This window comes from Homo sapiens, chromosome 1, assembly GCF_000001405.40.
Source record: "Homo sapiens chromosome 1, GRCh38.p14 Primary Assembly".
NCBI classification, from domain to species: Eukaryota; Metazoa; Chordata; class Mammalia; order Primates; family Hominidae; genus Homo; species Homo sapiens.
This window is the reverse complement of record NC_000001.11, coordinates 74,876,687-74,895,905: the sequence shown is the minus strand read 5'-3', so window position 1 is coordinate 74,895,905 and position 19,219 is coordinate 74,876,687. Positions and strand designations below refer to the sequence as shown.

The window sequence follows — 19,219 nt, the reverse complement described above, 5'->3', positions numbered from 1 at the left end:
AGCGCATGATTAGATAAGGAGAAATCCTCTCTTTGCTGGTATTTTCCTAACATTCGTGTTACATTTTCACACTCACCAGCTCTTTAATATTCATGTTGATCCCTTCTTTTCTCTCAGAATAATTTGCTTTCTGGTCTCTTTCCTGGAACGTTTACTATATCCTGTAAGGATGCTTCTATTGACAGGTAACTTAATTTATAGGAACTTGAACACTTCCCCCCTCACACTATAAGATGTATGGAGATAAGCAGCTGCTAACAGTGGTTTAGTGGCTTAGCCATATTAGTGTCACCATCTCTTTGTGCTCTTGACATCTTTTCATGGTGATAAGACAGCTGCTGAGTTTTAAGTTTCCACCTAGTTCCAGATACTGTATCTCCTTTCGTGGCAGGAAGAAAAGAAAACGAGTGGTATTCTTTGTTTTATTAGGAAGCTGCTTTCCTAGAATCTATCCCTACTCCTGTAGAGTTCCAGTTGCATCCTAAATGGATGGAATTATCCACATGGCTACCCCTAACTGTGAGGGGAAGTGAACAGCACCTAGAAGGCAGCAAGGACTAGGTGTGGATTTGGGATTAACCACTCTGTCTTGGAGTATTTATTTTTCTTGTAAGACAAAAGATAGGGAAGTGGGTATGTAGGGATAGTGAAGATACCTTACTTAAATCAAGATTTAGCATTTCCTCCAGTTGAGAAACTGGTGTGGATGGATTTGTAGTGCATATAACTGACAGTTTTGTCATGCTAAAAGAGATATACGGGACCATTCTGATATCATTCCTCATTTCAAATGTCACTAGGCCATATAGTGTCCCTTTATCACCCTTATTGGAAGCAATTCCACTTTCCTCTGAATTCTTATACTTCTTTGTCTATATCTCTTAGGAAACATGCCCCTTTTAATCTTGTATTTTTAATGATATTAATTTATATTTATCTAAATATAAAATTGATATTTACAGCATTTTTGAGATTTTTTAAGATTCAGAGTAGAAAGAAAACACCAATAGATAGGATTCTCCAGGTACATGCTTGCAGAGCATACTATAAGTATCCTTTAAAACACTTGTCACGCTTACAATTACTTAATGTTTTTCTCTTTTTGTGAAATAAAAGCACCGTGAGGACAAGGATTATTACTGTTTTATTCTTTGCCATACCTCCAGTATACAGCACAGTACCTAACACATACTAGGTGTTAATAGTCATTGAATGAATAAACACAGAAAATAAACATTAATTTTTTTGCTTCTGTTTTACTTTTTAGTTATTTTTATTTATGACTGTAAGTTCCTTAATAAAATCTGTGCCTGACTTATCTTTTTACCACCAATCATCTGTATTCCCTCAATCAACAAACAGGACTTGACACATTAGGTGCTCAATAATTATGTATCAAAAGAATATGTAAATGATTTGTATTATATCAACCTATGATATGAACCCATAGTAATAAATCATACTTTGTTCATGGATATTCATACTTATTATGCTCCTCAATGGCCTTACCTTACCTCAGAGAAGAGGAGGCCATTTAAAGCTTTAGTAAGAGGGTCTTTGTAACTGTGACTAAGGCTCCAGATAAGACAGATTGTCTCTCCCACTTTTTTTCCCCTATTCAACTTTTATTTTAGGTTCAGGGGTACATGTGCAGGTTTGTTACATGGGTAAGTTGTGTGTCACTAGGGTTTGGTGTGCAAATGATTTTGTCACCCCGCTAGTGAGCACAGTACCAGATAGGTAGTTTTTTGACCCTCATTCTAATGCTGTCAGTGGGGTGTGAATGTCTCCCACTCTTATTGTTTGGTTATTTAAGTCTCTTTATAGGTCTCTAACAATGTGTTTTATGAATCTGAGAGCTCCAGTGTTGGTTGCATATATATTTAGGAAAGTTAAGTCTTCTTGTTGAATATTTTACCGTTATGTAATGCTCTTTGTCCTTTTTGATCATTGTTGGTAGTCTGTTTTGTCTGAAATAAGAATAGCAACCCATGCTTTTTTTTTGTTTTCTGTCTGCTTGGCAGATTTTTCTCCATCCCCTTATTTTGAGCCTATGGGTGTCATAAGGAAATGGGTCTCTTGAAGACAAAATACACTTTGTTCTTGCTTTTTTATTCAACTTACCACTCTGTCTTCTAATTGGAACATTGCAATATTGACATGTGAGAATTTGAACTCAGCATCATGCGGTTAGCTGGTTGTTACATAGACTTGATTGTATAGTCGCTTTATATTATCAGTGGTCTATGTAAGTAAGTGTATTTTTGTGGTGGCTGGTAATGGTCTTTTGTTTCCATGTTTAGCAATCCTTTAAGGACCTCTTGTAATGCAGGTTTGGTGGTAATGAATTTCCATAGCATTTGCTTGTCTGGATAGAATTTTATTTCTCCTTCACTTATGATGTTTAGTTTGGCTGAATATGAAATTCTTGGTTGGAATTTCTTTTCTTTACAAATGCTGAATATAGGCCCTCAATTTCTTCTGGCTTGGAAGGTTTCTGTTGAAAGGTCGGCTGTTATTCTGATGGAGTTCCTTTTGTACATGAGCTGCCCCTTTCGTAGGTCTCTAAAAATGTGTTTTATGAATCTAGCTGCCTTTAAGATTGTTTTCTTTTTTGTTGACTGTGGAGACTCTGATGACTATGTGTCTTGAGGATGGTTGTCTGGTACAGTATCTCACAGGGGTTCTCTGAACTTCCTGAATTTGCATGTCAACCTCTTTAGTGAGGTTGGGGAAATTTTCATGTACAATATTCTTAAGTATGTTTTCCAAGTTGCTTACTATTTCTCCATCTCTTTCAGGAGTGCCAGTGAGTCACAGGTCTTGTCCATTTATATAATTTCATATTTCTTGGAGGTTTTCTTCATTTTTTAAAATTCTTTTTTCTTTATTTTTTTTTTTCTGTCTGTGTTGATTTTAAGGAATGGTTCATTTGAGCTCTGGGATTCTTTCCTCACCTTGATCTATTCTGTTATTAATACTTCCAACTGCATTCTGAAATTCCTGTAGTGAATTTTTTATTTCCACTTTAGTTTTGTTCTTTCTTAAAATGACTATGTTGTCTTTCAACTCTTGGACTGTTCTAGTGTTTTTATTGGATTGGGCTTTAATGTTGTCCTATATTTTGGTGAGCTTCCTTGCTATCCAGATTCTTCTTTGTTTTTTTTTTTTTTTTTTGACAGAGTTTTGCTCTTGTTGCCCTGGCTGGAGTGCAATGGTGTGATCTCAAGTCACTACAACCTCTGCCTCCCGGGTTCAAGTGATTCTCCTGCCTCAGCCTTCCTGAGTAGCTGGGATTACAGTCATGTGTCACCATGCCTGGCTAATTTGGCATTTTTAGTAGAGATGGGGTTTCTCCATGTTGGTCAGGCATGTCTCAATCTCCCGAACTCAGGTGATCCTCCTGCCTTGGCCTCCCAAAGTGCTGGGATTACAGGCATGAGCCACCACGTCCTGCCACTATCCAGACTCTCAATTCTGTCTGTTCTTTCAGCTTTTTCAGTGTGGTTAAGAACCACTGCTGCACTGCGTACAGCTATTTGGAAGTAAGAAGACACTTTGGCTTTTAGAGTTGCCAGAGTTCTTGAGCTGGTTCTTTATCATCTGTGTGGGCTGATGTTCCATTAATAATTGAAGTTCTCCTGCAGCTAGGATTCCAGAGGTCTGTGGTGAGAGTGTGCCACTCTATTTTACTCACCCCTTCTGCAGAAGCTCTATTTTACTCACCACACCTATTTTACTCACTCCTGTAGGAGCTGCTAAGGGCAAGGGATAAGCCCTGGTGCTGGCAATTCCTTGCAGTGTTCCTAGCTCCTTCCCCTTTCATCATGGGGTCTGCTTTTTTCCTCTGTACACTCTCAATGCCTTCTTTCTGAAGATGTATTCAGAGCGTGCTGGTGTACTTGACCATCTGGTCTCTCTTGGTGGGAGAAGCTCTTCCTGGTTGCATCTAGTCAGCCATTTTAGCTCCTCCCTGTACATTCCTTTTCCATCTCTACCACTTTCTAGCTATGCAAATTCAGTAAAGTCACTTCAACTCTGTGAGCCTGTATTCCTACATAAAGTGGAAATAATAATACTACTTCATAGCATTGATTTGAGAATTAAGAATTTATGAAAAAGCACACATAGCACATTGTTAAGAGCTTATATAATTTTCAAACATGTTAAAAAACACGATTCTCATACAAATGTAGAATGGACATGTATCAAGATTGAACTCATTAGTAAGGATAATAAAACTGATTCAAAGAACATTTGAGGAACTTTAGTTTTATTTTGGCTTAATTTTGAACTATCTCTTAAGACAATAGGTTAGATTTTAATAAAAGATCAGGAAGAGAGGAGAGCTATGAGAGTCAATGAATAATAGAGAATTCAACAAAATGAAACGAAGATTGCATCTGCCTAAAGGGACTCAAGGAATAGCATTCATTTACTCAAGGCCATATCCCCATCCTGGCAGTGTATCTCAGGGCCTGAAATACTACAGCCATGCTGTTTGCCAATCACACTTACACAACTATATTGTCTTTCTTGACAGGAGTGTTGAACTTAATCTGGCCTGAGGAATGTAATCTGTGTGAGCAAAAACAAGATTCAAAAAGCACTTAGGAGCTTAAGCTTGGTAGATGTAACATCCTGGTGTTGTTGTGGGAATAGCACTATATTTGGCATGTGAAGAACCAGAGGCAAAAGCTGACTGTCACTTGGCAGCAGTGAAGATACCGGTCAAATTGTATAAGTTTTCAGGGTATGATTTCCTTCATCTGCAACACGGGAAGACTAATACCTATACCACAGAGTTGCAATATGAATTATGTGAAAGACGCTTTGGGAAAGCAGTACTTTGTAAATGATTACCGTAAAGGGAACTATATCTATTTTTCTTGATCTTGCCTTTTGCTGGCCAGGAGATGTCCTGTAAACTAATGTGGGCAATTTCTGTCACCTAGCTTTCAGACCACAATTATTTAGGCTTAGAAGTATCTTGTCATTTTCATACATAGGGTAGGTCCTTATGTTCTCTAACTCTGTGCTCTGGGATGCTGTACTGCTTTTTATTTTAAATATCACTAAGAAAAGTCTCAAGAAGCCTTTATGCAGAATCTGGAACAGATTTCTGCCTATACCTGTAGTTAGCTGTTTTACTACTTTTTAAAAAATATCAGGCCCAACACATCTGAACTGTGATGGGATGTTTAGAGGTGTATCATTTTATGAAAACCTTGACAGCAGCATTTCAAGCACATGTTGCATGTACTTTCACCTTTTACTTCCGTCTGGTAAAAAGAAGCCTATTAAGACTCACAAAGGAGAATGATTTATACATTTTAGTTAAGACCCCATTTATAACATTCACAAAGATAGATCAAGTTAGGATGTTATTTTATTTTAAATATTTTTACTCTGCCTCATTCCACAAAGGATTTGAAGAAGTTAGGTGAGAGAGTGAATGGAGAGGTAGTTTCTTACTTAGAAATATAGCAAAATTATAGTGAAATTAGCTCTAAGTATCAATTTAATTGTAATCTTCAAGTAGAATTTATGTGAGAAGATATGTGTCATAGTGGCTGTGTCCACACAGGGAAAATTAAATGAAGAATTTGAGTATAATTCAAAATGCTAAGGAAAACACTTTTTGCTTCAGTGGCATTAACATATAAATGTATGTGTGTGTATATTATGCACTCAAACTCATCTCTATATGGTTTAACTTGAATTACCTGAATTTCATGATTATCCTGTTTATTTTGTTCTGAGCTTTTCTTTGATGAGTAAATAAAACAAATCCTGTCATGGTATTTTGTCAGGAATATTTCATCAGCACATAACTGAATTATGAGATTTGTCAGTTAATAAATTCGTGAGCAGAACTTCTAATTTCCTTACAGTCATGTACTTCTTAGGCAGATATTTTTTAATGAATGAGTACATCCTGCTTTACATATACAAAACCAGTCTGATGTCACATCTTGTGAATAGATTACTATATCTTCCCTTCTTCATATAGTCAAGGAATCCATTTTTACTTAACGCTTTGGACATTTTATTATCTTTAGAACAAAGTTTAACCTGAGAACAGTAAAATTGAGGAGAAAATTGATTAAGGCCAGGTATTTTTCACTTTTTATTATGTTATGCCAACTAAATTTGGAATCAGCAGAAAAAGTCACTATTCATTAAATATTTTTCATGAAGTAGAACATATTTGAAGTCTTTTCTCCAATATTTGTAGTATATATAACATGTTAATCCCAGTCTATACTTGTATTTCTTAATACTTCTTTTATATTTTTTTACCACTATAAAGTACATTATAAAAACTTTGATTTTTAAGATTAAAGCAAATTACATTTAGTAAATTTTGTTTTGAGAAAATTTCATAACAAATCTTAAAATAATTAGGCTATTCTTGAGTGTTTATTCACCTTTTCACCAAATATTTATGAGCCTCTACTATGTATTAGGCACTTTGATAAAGCAGAAGATTTAGCAGAGAACAAAAGAGATCTAGTCCCTACCTTTATGGTCTTTACAGTTCAGAGCAGGAGGAAACAGTAAACCACCACAAAAACTGACATGTATTTAGAAACTGAGATAAGTACAACAAAGAAAAAATATAAGCTTCTATGACTGAAAATTAAAGGGACACCCAGTTTAGACTGGGCAAACAGGCAAAGCATCTCTGAAAATTATATTTAAACTGGTAAAATACTGAAAAGATAAGCTGAAAGTGTATGAGGAATGAATGGTGGGCAGTGTGTTTGAAGTACAGTGATGGAAGGAGAGAGTGATACAAAGCAAAAGCAAGAGGAAGAGTCAGGCAAGATTATACAAGCACTGTTATTGATTTTTAAATTTGATTTAAATACATCAGCAGTCATTGAAGGGTTTTAAAGATATCATAAAAATAAGTTTGGCCCTTGCGCGGTGGCTCACGCCTGTAATCCCAGCACTTTGGGAGGCCTAGGCGGGCGGATCATGAGGTCAGGAGAATGAGACCATCCTGGCCAACACGGTGAAACCCCGTCCCTACTAAAAATACAAAAAATTAGCCGGGTGTGGTAGTGGGCACCTGTAGTCCCAGCTACTCGGGAGGCTGAGGCAGGAGAATGGCGTGAACTTGCGAGGCGGAGCTTGCAATAAGCCGAGATCGCGCCACTGCAACTCCAGTCTGGGCGACAGAGCGAGACTCCGTCTCAAAAAAATAAATAAATAAAAACAAAATAAATAAGGTTAATATTTTAAAAAGTTTATTTGACTGCTGGTTGTATAGAGCTTAGATCAGAAGAGAACAAAAGTAAAGAGAGATGGGTTGTTCAGTGGGGTGTATCTATTAAGTGGTGACTGCAGTGGGCTAGGAGAGAGATGATGGTGATTTAGACTGAAGAGTTAAAGAAGCAACCCTGAAGATGACAGAACCCTTAGTGAAAGTTCAACTGAGAGACTTCTGAGTGACAGTTGTCATAATTTAGAACAGTGGACTAATTTGCATCCCCTTTTCTCTGCATCCTTGACCACGTCTGTTATTTTTTGATGTTTTAATAATAGCTGTTCTGACTGGCATAAGATGGTATTTTGTGGTTTTAATTTGCACTTCTCTGATGATTAGTGATGTTGAACATTAGCGATGTTGAAAAGAACCTCAGAAGTAGACTCAAAATCTTTTTTAAAAATAGATTTAAGGGGTTCCAGTGCAGTTTTGTTACCTGAGTGTATTGCATGGTGGTGAAGTCTGGACTTTGAATGTAAACCCTTGAGTAGTGTACATTGTATCCAATAGGAAATTTCTCATCATCACCCTCCTCCTACCCTCCCACCTTTCTGAGTTTCCAGTATCTATTATTCCATTCTCTACATCTATGTGTACAAATTATTTGCATGTCCACTCATAAGTGAGAACATGCAGTATTTGACTTGCTGTTTCTGAGTTATTTCACTTTACATAATGGCTTATAGTTCTATCCACATTGCTGCAAATGACACCATTTCATTCATTTTTATGGCTGAGTAGTATTCCATGGTGTATATATATATATACCACATTTTCCTTATCCAATCGTCTGTTGCTGGACACTTAGTTTGATTCCATGACTTTACTATTGTGAATAGTACTGTGATAAATAGATAAATATATTAGTGGGGGCGTCTTTTTGATATAATAATTTCTTTTCCTTTGAGTAGATACTGAGTAATGGGATTGCTGAATCAAATGGTAGTTCTATTTTAGTTATTTGAGAAATCTCCATATCATTTTGATTGGACTAATTTGCATCCCCTTTTCTTTGCATCCTTGACCACATCTGTTATTTTTTGATGTTTTAATAATAGCTGTTCTGACTGGTATAAGATGGTATTTTGTGATTTTAATTTGCATTTCTCTGATGATTAGTGATGTTGAACATTTTTTTCATATGCTTTTTGGCCACTTATATGTCTTCTTTTGAGAAGTGTCTGTTTATATCCTTTGCCTACATTTTAATGGGGTTATTTATTTTTTTGTTCAGTTGTTTGATTGAATTCCTTGTAGATTATAGGTATTAGTCCTTTGTCACATGCATAGTTTGCAATAATTTTCTCCCATTCTGTAGTTCTGTTCACTCTGTTTATAGTTTCCTTTGCTGTGCAGAAACTTTTTAGTTTAATTAGATCACACTTGTTAATTAGTCCCTTCTCATGCTGCTAATAAAGAACTACTCGAGACTGGGTAATTTATAAAGAAAAAATGTTTAATTGATTCACAGTTCAGCATGGTTGGGGAAGCTTCAGGAAATTTACAATCGTGGTGGAAGGGGAAACAAACACATCCTGCTTCACATGGTGGAAGCAAGGAGAAGTGCAGAGTGAAGTAGGGGGAAAAGCCCCCTATAAAACCATCATATCTCATAAGAATTCACTATCACAAGAACAGCATGGAGGTAACCGCCCCCATAATTCACTTAACTCCCACTGGGTCCTTCCTACTATGTGGGGATTATGGGAACTACAATTCAAGATGAGATTTGGGTGGGGACACAGCCAAACCATATCACATCCATTTTTGGTTTTGTTGCATTTGCTTTTGAAGTCTTAGTCATAAATTATTGGCCTAGGCCAATGTCCAGAAGAGTTTTTCCTAGGTTTTCTTCTAAGATTTTTATAGCTTCAGAAATTACATGGAAGTTTTTAATTCATCTTGAGTTAATTTTTGTATCTACTGAGAGATATGGATGCAGTTTTTTTTCTACGTATGACTATCCTATTTTCTCTGCACCATTTTCGGAGTAGGGTGTTTTTACCCTAATTTATGTTTTTGTTGACTTTGTCGAAGTTCAGTTGGTTGTAGGTATGTGGCTTTATTTCTAGGTTCTCTATTCTGTTCCATTGATCTATGTGTCCATTTTTACACCATTACTATGCTGTTTTGATTACTGTAGTCTTGTAGTATAATTTGAAGTCAGGTAATGTATACCTCCAGATTTTTCCACTTTGGTTAGGATTGCTTTGGCCATTTGGGCTCTTTATTGGTCCCTTATGATTTTTAGGATTTTTTTTCCTGAATATTGTGAAGAATGACATTGGTATTTTGATAGGCATTACATTGCCCTTGTATTAGTCTGTTTTCACACTGCTGATAAAGACATACCCAAGACTGGGCAATTTACAAAAGAAAAAGGTTTAATTAGACTTAAAGTTCTACGTGGCTGGAGAAGCCTCACAATCCTGGTGGAAGGCAAGGAGGAGCAAGTCATGTCTTACATGGATGGTGGGAGGCAAAGAGAGAGATTGGGCAGGAAAACTCCCCCTTATAATACCTTCAGATCTTGTGAGACTTATTCACTATCATGAGAAGAGCACAGGAAAGACCTGCTCCCATGATTCAATTACCTCCCACTGGGTCCCTCCTACAACACATGGGAATTCAAAATGAGATTTGGGTAGGGACACAGCCAAATCATATCATTACATCCCTGGCCCCTCCCAAATCTCATGCCCTTACATTTCAAAATTAATCATGCCTTCCCAACAGTCCCCCAAAGTCTTAACTTATTTAAGCATTAACTCACATGTCCACAGTCCAAAGTCTCATCTGAGACAAGGCAAGTCTCTTCTACCTATGAGCCTGTAAAATCAAAAGCAAGTTAGTCACTTCCTAGATACAATGGGGGTACAGGAATTGGGTAAATACAGCCATTCCAAATCAGATAAATTGGCCAAAACAAAGGGGCTACAGGTCCCACGCAAGTCTGAAATCCAGAAGGGCAGTCAAATCTTAAAGTTCCAAAATAATCTCCTTTGACTCCATGTCTCTCATCCAGGTCATGCTGAAGCAAGAGATAGTTTCCCATGGTCTTGGGCAGCACTGCACCTGTGGCTTTGCAGGGTACAGCCTCCCTCCTGGCTGTTTTCACAGGCTGGTGGTGAGTGTCTGTGGCTTTTCCAGGTGCATGGTGCAAGCTGTCAGTGGATCTACTAATCTAGGGTATGGAGGACGGTGGCCCTCTTCTCACAGCTCCATTAAGTGGTGTTCCAGTAGGGACTGTATGTGGGGCCGCAGACCCCACATTTTCTTTCCACACTTGCCTAGCAGAGGTTCTCCATGAGAGCCCCACCCCTGCTGCAAACTTCTGCCTGGACATCCAGGCATTTCCGTACATTCCCTGAAATCTTGGCAGAGGTTCCCAAACCTCAATTCTTGACTTCTGTGCACTTGCAGACTCAACACCATGTGGAAGCTGCCAAGGCTTGGGGCTTGCACCCTCTGAAGCCATGGCTCAAACTCTACCTTGGCCCCTTTCAGCCATGGCTGGAGCAGCTGGGAGGCAGGGCACCAAGTCCCTAGGCTGCACACACACAGGGACCCTGGGGCTGGCCCATAAAACTATTTTCTCCTAGGCCTCCAGACCTGTGATGGGAGGGGCTGCTACGAAAATCCCTGACATCCCCTGGAGACATTTTCTCCATTGTCTTGGGGATTAACATTTGACTTCTTGTTACTTATGCAAACCTCTGCAGCTGGCTTGAATTTCTCCTTAGAAAATGGATTTTTCTTTTCTATCACATTGTGAGGCTGCACATTTTCTGAACTTTTATGCTCTGCTTCCCTTATAAAACTGAATGCCTTTAACAGCACCCAGGTCACCTCTTGAATGCTTTTCTGCTTAGAAATTTTTTCCTCCAGGTACCCCAAATCACCTCTCTCAAGTTCAGAGTTCCACAGATCTTTAGGGCAGGGGCAAAATGCCACCAGTCTCTTTGCTAAAACATAACAAGAGTAACCTTTGCTCCAGTTCTCAACAAATTCCTCATCTCCATCTGAGACCACCTCACTCTGGACCTTATTGTCCATATTGTTATCAGGATTTTGGTCAAAGCCATTCAACAAGTCTCTAGGAAGTTCCAAACTTTCGCACATTTTCCTGTCTTTTTCTGAGCCCTCCAAACTATTCCACCCTCTACCTGTTACCCAGGTCCAAGCTTGCTTCCACATTTTCAGGTATCTTTTCAGCAGTGCCCCATTATACTGGTACCAATTTACTGTATTAGTCCATTTTCATGCTGCTGATAAAGATATACCTGAAACTGGGCAATTTACAAAAGAAAGAGGTTTAATTGGACTTACAGTTCCATGTGGCTGGGGAAGTCTCACAATCATGGTGGAAGGCAAGGAGGAGCAAGTCACGTCTTACATGGATGGCAGCAGGCAAAGAAAGAAATTGGGAAGGGAAACTCTCCCTTATAATATATCAGATCTCATGAGACTTATTTGCTGTCATGAGAACTGCATGGGAAAGACCTGACCACATGATTCAATTACCTTCCACCAGGTGTCTCCCACAACATGTGGGAATTCAAGCTGAGATTTGGGTGAGAATACGGCCAAACCATATCAAATCTGTAAATTGCTTTGGGCAGAATGATCATTTTAATGATATTCATTCTTCCAATCCATAATCATGGATTTTTTATATTTTTTTGTGTCATCTATTATTTCTTTCAACAGTGCTTTGTAGAGATCTTTCACCTCCTTGTTTAAATGTATTCCTAGGGTCTTTTTTTTTTGTAGCTAATGTAATTAAGATGAGTTCTTGATTTAGCTCTCAGCTTGCATAGTATTCGTGTATAGAAATGCTACTAATTTTTTTTTACATTTATTTTGTAGCTTAAAACTTAGTGAATTTATTTATTGAATTTAGGAGACAGCATCTTTAGGGTTTTCTAGGTATAAGATTATGTCATCAGCCAATAGAGATAACTTGAGTTTTTCCTTCCTAATTTTAATGCCTTTTATTTATTTCTCTTGCCTGATTTCTCTGACTGGGACTTCTAGTACTATGTTGCATAGGCATGGAGAAGTGAGCATCCTTGTCTTATTCTAGTTCTTACCTTTTCATATTTACTATGATGCTGGCTGTGGGTTTGTCATATATAGCTTTTATTTTATTTAGGTATATTTCTTCTATGCCTAGTTTATTGAGGGTTTTTATCATGAAGGGATGCTGGATTTTATCAAATTTTTTTTGCATGTATGGAGGTGATCATATGGTTATTGTTTTTATTTGTTTATGTGATAAATCTCATTTATTGATTTGCATAGCTTGAACCATTCTTCTATCCCTGTAATAAAACTCAAGTGATCATGGTGTATTGTCTTTTGGATCTAGTGTTAGATTTGGTTAGCTAGTATTTTGTTGAAGATTTTTGCATTTATGTTCAATGGGCATATTGGTCTGAGTTTTCTTTTCTTTTCTTTTTTATTTTATTTTATTTTTATTTTATTATTATACTTTAAGTTTTAGGGTACATGTGCAAAATGTGCAGGTTAGTTACATATGTATACGTGTGCCATGCTGATGCACTGCACTCACTAACTCGTCATCTAGCATTAGGTATATCTCCCAATGCTCTCCCTCCCCCCTCCCCCCACCCCACAACAGTCCCCAGAGTGTGATGTTCCCCTTCTTGTGTCCATGTGTTCTCATTGATCAATTCCCACCTATGAGTGAGAATATGCAGTGTTTGGTTTTTTGTTCTTGCAATAGTTTACTGAGAATGATGATTTCCAATTTCATCCATGTCCCTACAAAGGACATGAACTCATCATTTTTTATGGCTGCATAGTATTCCATGGTGTATATGTGCCACATTTTCTTAATCCAGTCTATCATTGTTGGACATTTGGGTTGGTTCCAAGTCTTTGCTATTGTGAATAATGCCGCAATAAACATACGTGTGCATGTGTCTTTATAGCAGCATGATTTATAATCCTTTGGGTATATACCCAGTAATGGGATGGCTGGGTCAAATGGTATTTCTAGTTCTAGATCCCTGAGGAATCACCACACTGACTTCCACCATGGTTGAACTAGTTTACAGTCCCACCAACAGTGTAAAAGTGTTCCTATTTCTCCACATCCTCTCCAGCACCTGTTGTTTCCTGACTTTTTAATGATCACCATTCTAACTGGTTTGAGATGGTATCTCATTGTGGTTTTGATTTGCATTTCTCTGATGGCCAGTGATGGTGAGCATTTTTTCATGTGTTTTTTGGCTGCATAAATGTCTTCTTTTGAGAAGTGTCTGTTCATGTCCTTCGCCCACTTTTTGATGGTGTTGTTTGTTTTTTTCTTGTAAATTTGTTTGAGTTCATTGTAGATTCTGGATATTAGCCCTTTGTCAGATGAGTAGGTTGCAAAAATTTTCTCCCATTTTGTAGGTTGCCTGTTCACTCTGAGGTAGTTTCTTTTGCTGTACAGACGCCCTTTAGTTTAATTAGATCCCAATTGTCAATTTTGGCTTTTGTTGCCATTGCTTTTGGTGTTTTAGACATGAAGTCCTTGCCCATGCCTATGTCCTGAATGGTAATGCCTAGGTTTTCTTCTAGGGTTTTTATGGTTTTAGGTCTAACGTTTAAGTCTTTAATCCACCTTGAATTAATTTTTGTATAAGGTGTAAGGAAGGGATCCAGTTTCAGCTTTCTACATATGGCTAGCCAGTTTTCCCAGCACCATTTATTAAATAGGGAATCCTTTCCCCATTGCTTGTTTTTGTCAGGTTTGTCAAAGATCAGATAGTTGTAGATATGTGGCATTATTTCTGAGGGCTCTGTTCTGTTCCATTGATCTATATCTCTGTTTTGGTACCAGTACCATGCTGTTTTGGTTACCGTAGCCTTGTAGTATAGTTTGAAGTCAGGTAGTGTGATGCCTCCAGCTTTGTTCTGTTGGCTGAGGATTGACTTGGCGATGCGGTCTCTTTTTTGGTTCCATGTGAACTTTAAAGTAGTTTTTTCCAATTCTGTGAAGAAAGTCATTGGTAGCTTGATGGGGATGGCATTGAATCTGTAAATTACCTTGGGAAAGTATGGCTATTTTCACGTTATTGATTCTTCCTACCCATGAGCATGGAATGTTCTTCCATTTGTTTGTATCCTCTTTTATTTCATTGAGCAGTGGTTTGTAGTTCTCCTTGAAGAGGTCCTTCACATCCCTTGTAAGTTGGATTCCTAGGTATTTTATTCTCTGTGAAGCAATTGTGAATGGGAGTTCACTCATGATTTGTCTCTCTGTTTGTCTGTTGTTGGTGTATAAGAATGCTTGTGATTTTTGTACATTGATTTTGTATCCTGAGACTTTGCTGAAGTTGCTTATCAGCTTAAGGAGATTTTGGGCTCAGACAATGGGGTTTTCTAGATACACAATCATGTCATCTGCAAACAGGGACAATTTGACTTCCTCTTTTCCTAATTGAATACCCTTTATTCCCTTCTCCTGCCTAATTGCCCTGGCCAGAACTTCCAACACTATGTTGAATAGGAGTGGTGAGAGAGGACATCCCTGTCTTGTGCCAGTTTTCAAAGGGAATGCTTCCAGTTTTTGCCCATTCAGTATGATATTGGCCATGGGTTTGTCATAGATAGCTCTTATTATTTTGAAATACGTCCCATCAATATCTAATTTATTGAGAGTTTTTAGCATGAAGTGTTGTTGAATTTTATCAAAGGCCTTTTCTGCATCTATTGAGATAATCATGTGGTTTTTGTCTTTGGTTCTGTTTATATGCTGGATGACATTTATTGATTTGTGTATATTGAACCAGCCTTGCATCCCAGGGATGAAGCTCACTTGATCATGGTGGATAAGCTTTTTGAAGTGCTGCTGGATTCGGTTTGCCAGTATTTTATTGAGGATTTTTGCATCAATGTTCATCAAGGATATTGGTCGAAAATTCTCTTTTTTGGTTGTGTCTCTGCCCAGCTTTGGTATCAAGATGATGCTGGCCTCATAAAATGAGTTAGGTAGGATTCCCTCTTTTTCTATTGATTGGAATAGTTTCAGAAGGAATGGTAGCAGTTCCTCCTTGTACCTCTGGTAGAATTCAGCTGTGAATCCATCTGGTCCTGGACTCTTTTTGGTTGGTAAGCTATTGATTATTGCCACAATTTGAGATCCTGTTATCGGTCTATTCAGAGATTCAACTTCTTCCTGGTTTAGTCTTGGGAGAGTGTATGTGTCGAGGAATTTATCCATTTCTTCTAGATTTTCTAGTTTATTTGCGTAGAGGTGTTTGTAGTATTCTCTGATGGTAGTTTGTATTTCTGTGGGACCGGTGGTGATATCCCCTTTATCATTTTTTATTGTGTCTATTTGATTCTTCTCTCTTTTTTTCTTTATTAGTCTTGCTAGCGGTCTATCAATTTTGTTGATCCTTTCAAAAAACCAGCTCCTGGATTCGTTAATTTTTTGAAGGGTTTTTTGTGTCTCTATTTCCTTCAGTTCTTCTCTGATTTTAGCTATTTCTTGCCTTCTGCTAGCTTTTGAATGTGTTTGCTCTTGCTTTTCTAGTTCTTTTAATTGTGATGTTAGGGTGTCAATTTTGGATCTTTCCTGCTTTCTCTTGTGGGCATTTAGTGCTATAAATTTCTCTCTACACACTGCTTTGAATGTGTTCCAGAGATTCTGGTATGTTGTGTGTTTGTTTTTGTTGGTTTCAAAGAACATCTTTATTTCTGCCTTCATTTCGTATGTACCCAGTAGTCATTCAGGAGCAGGTTGTTCAATTTCCATGTAGTTGAGTGGTTTTGAGTGAGATTCTTAATCCTGAGTTCTAGTTTGATTGCACTGTGGCCTGAGAGACAGTTTGTTATAATTTCTGTTCTTTTACATTTGCTGAGGACAGCTTTACTTCCAAGTATGTGGTCAATTTTGGAATAGGTGTGGTGTGGTGCTGAAAAAAATGTATATTCTGTTTATTTGGGTGGAGAGTTCTGTAGATGTCTATTAGGTCCGCTTGGTGCAGAGCTGAGTTCAATTCCTGGGTATCCTTGTTGACTTTCTGTCTCGTTGATCTGTCTAATGTTGACAGGGGGTTGTTAAAGTCTCCCACTATTAATGTGTGGGAATCTAAGTCTCTTTGTAGGTCACTCAGGACTTGCTTTATGAATCTGGGTGCTCCTGTATTGGGTGCATATATATTTAGGATAGTTAGCTCTTCTTGTTGAATTGATCCCTTTACCATTATGTAATGGCCTTCTTTGTCTCTTTTGATCTTTGTTGGTTTAAAGTCTGTTTTATCAGAGACTAGGATTGCAACCCCTGCCTGTTTTTGTTTTCCATTTGCTTGGTAGATCTTCCTCCATCCTTTTATTTTGAGCCTATCTGTGTCTCTGCACGTGAGATGGGTTTCCTGAATACAGCACACTGATGGGTCTTGACTCTTTATCCAATTTGCCAGTCTGTGTCTTTTAATTGGAGCATTTAGTCCATTTACATTTAAAGTTAATATTGTTATGTGTCAATTTGATCCTGTCATTATGATGTTAGCTGGTTATTTTGCTCGTTAGTTCATGCAGTTTCTTCCTAGTCTCGATGGTCTTTACATTTTGGCATGATTTTGCAGCGGCTGGTATTGGTTGTTCCTTACCATGTTTAGCGTTTCCTTCAGGAGCTCTTTTAGGGCAGGCCTGGTGGTGACAAAATCTCTCAGCATTTGGTTGTCTGTAAAGTATTTTATTTCTCCTTCACTTATGAAGCTTAGTTTGGCTGGATATGAAATTCTGGGTTGAAAATTCTTGTCTTTAAGAATGTTGAATATTGGCCCCCACTCTCTTCTGGCTTGTAGAGTTTCTGCCGAGAGATCCGCTGTTAGTCTGATGGGATTCCCTTTGTGGGTAACCCGACCTTTCTCTCCAGCTGCCCTTAACATTTTTTCCTTCATTTCAACTTTGGTGAATCTGACAATTATGTGTCTTGGAGTTGCTCTTCTCGAGGAGTATCTTTGTGGAGTTCTCTGTATTTCCTGAATCTGAATGTTGGCCTGCCTTGCTAGATTGGGGAAGTTCTCCTGGATGATATCCTACAGAGTGTTTTCCAACTTGGTTCCATTCTCCCCATCACTTTCAGGTACACCAATCAGACATAGATTTGGTCTTTTCACATAGTCCCATATTTCTTGGAGGCTTTGCTCATTTCTTTTTATTCTTTTTTCTCTAAACTTCCTTCTCGCTTCATTTCATTCACTTCATCTTCCATCGCTGATACCCTTTCTTCCAGTTGATCGCATCGGCTCCTGAGGCTTCTGCATTCTTCACATAGTTCTTGAGCCTTGGTTTTCAGCCCCATCAGCTCCTTTAAGCACTTCTCTGTATTGGTTGTTCTAGTTATACATTCTTCTAAACTTTTTTCAAAGTTTTCAACTTCTTTGCCTTTGGTTTGAATTTCGTCCTGTAGCTCAGAGTAATTTGATCATCTGAAGACTTCTCCTCTCAGCTCATCAAAGTCATTCTCTGTTCAGCTTTGTTCCATTGCAGGTGAGGAACTGCGTTCCTTTGGAGGAGGAGAGGCGCTCTGTGTTTTAGAGTTTCCAGTTTTTCTGCTCTGTTTTTTTCCCATCTTTGTGGTTTTATCTACTTTTGGTCTTTGATGATGGTGATGTACAGATGGGTTTTTGGTGTGGATGTCCTTTCTGTTTGTTAGTTTTCCTTCTAACAGACAGGACCCTCAGCTGCAGGTCTGTTGGAGTACCAGGCCGTGTGAGGTGTCAGTCTGCCCCTGCTGGGGGGTGCCTCCCAGTTAGGCTGCTCAGGGGTCAGCGGTCAGGGACCCACTTGAGGAGGCAGTCTGCCCGTTCTCAGATCTCCAGCTGTGTGCTGGGAGAACCACTGCTCTCTTCAAAGCTGTCAGACAGGGACATTTAAGTCTGCAGAGGTTACTGCTGTCTTTTTGTTTGTCTGTGCCCTGCCCCCAGAGGTGGAGCCTACAGAGTCAGGCAGGCCTCCTTGAGTTGTGGTGGGCTCCACCCATTTCAAGCTTCAGGGCTGCTTTGTTTACCTAAGCAAGCCTAGGCGATGGCGGGCGCCCCCGCCCCCCAGCCTTTCTGCAGCCTTGCAGTTTGATCTCAGACTGCTGTGCTAGCAATCAGCGAGACTCCGTGGGCATAGGACCCTCTGAGCCAGGTGCGGGATACAGTCTCCTCATGCGGCGTTTTTTAAGCCCGTCGGAAAAGTGCAGTATTCGGGTGTGAGTAACCCGATTTTCCAGGTGCCGTCTGTCACCCCTTTCTTTGACTAGGAAAGAGAACTAACTCCCTGACCCCTTGCACTTCCCAAGTGAGGCAATGCCTCGCCCTGCTTCTGCAGGTGCAGGGTGTGCGCACCCACTGACCTGCGCCCACTGTCTGGCACTCCCTAGTGAGATGAACCCGGTACCTCAGATGGAAATGCAGAAATCACCCGTCTTCTGCATCGCTCATGCTGGGAGCTGTAGACCAGAGCTGTTCCTATTCGGCCATCTTGGCTCCTCCCCACGAGTTTTCTTTTTTTGTTGCTTCCTTGCCTGGCTTTGGTGTCAATGTGATACTAGCTTCATAGAATGAGTTAGGGAGGATTCACTCCTTAAACTTTTGAATCAGTTTGAGTAGGACTGGTACCAGTTCTTCTTTGTACTTCTGGTAGAATTTGGCTATAAATCCAGCTATTTCTGGACTTTTTTGTTGTTGTTGAGGTTTTTTTTGTTTTTTTTTGTTTGTTTGTTTTTTAAGATAGAGTTGTGTTCTGTCGCCCAGGCTGGAGTGCAGTGGTGTGATCTCAGCTCACTGCAGCCTCTGCCTCCCAGGTTCAAGTGATTATCCTGCTTCAGCCTCCTGAGTATCTGGGATTACAGGTGGGAACCACCATGCCGAGATAATTTTTGTATTTTTAGTAGAGACAGGGTTTTCTCATGTTGGCCAGGCTGATCTC

The 19,219-nt window shown here is 39.0% G+C and overlaps 2 annotated features.

Moving 5' to 3' along the window:
- Nucleotides 17,901–18,401: an enhancer, noted in NCBI's record as "H3K4me1 hESC enhancer chr1:75343189-75343689 (GRCh37/hg19 assembly coordinates)". NCBI's record gives its function as "activates a minimal SCP1, AML or CMV promoter by ChIP-STARR-seq in naive H9 embryonic stem cells {active_cell/tissue: H9 hESC(naive)}" and the evidence as "EXISTENCE:reporter gene assay evidence [ECO:0000049][PMID:30033119]".
- Nucleotides 18,402–18,902: an enhancer, noted in NCBI's record as "H3K4me1 hESC enhancer chr1:75342688-75343188 (GRCh37/hg19 assembly coordinates)". NCBI's record gives its function as "activates a minimal SCP1, AML or CMV promoter by ChIP-STARR-seq in naive H9 embryonic stem cells {active_cell/tissue: H9 hESC(naive)}" and the evidence as "EXISTENCE:reporter gene assay evidence [ECO:0000049][PMID:30033119]".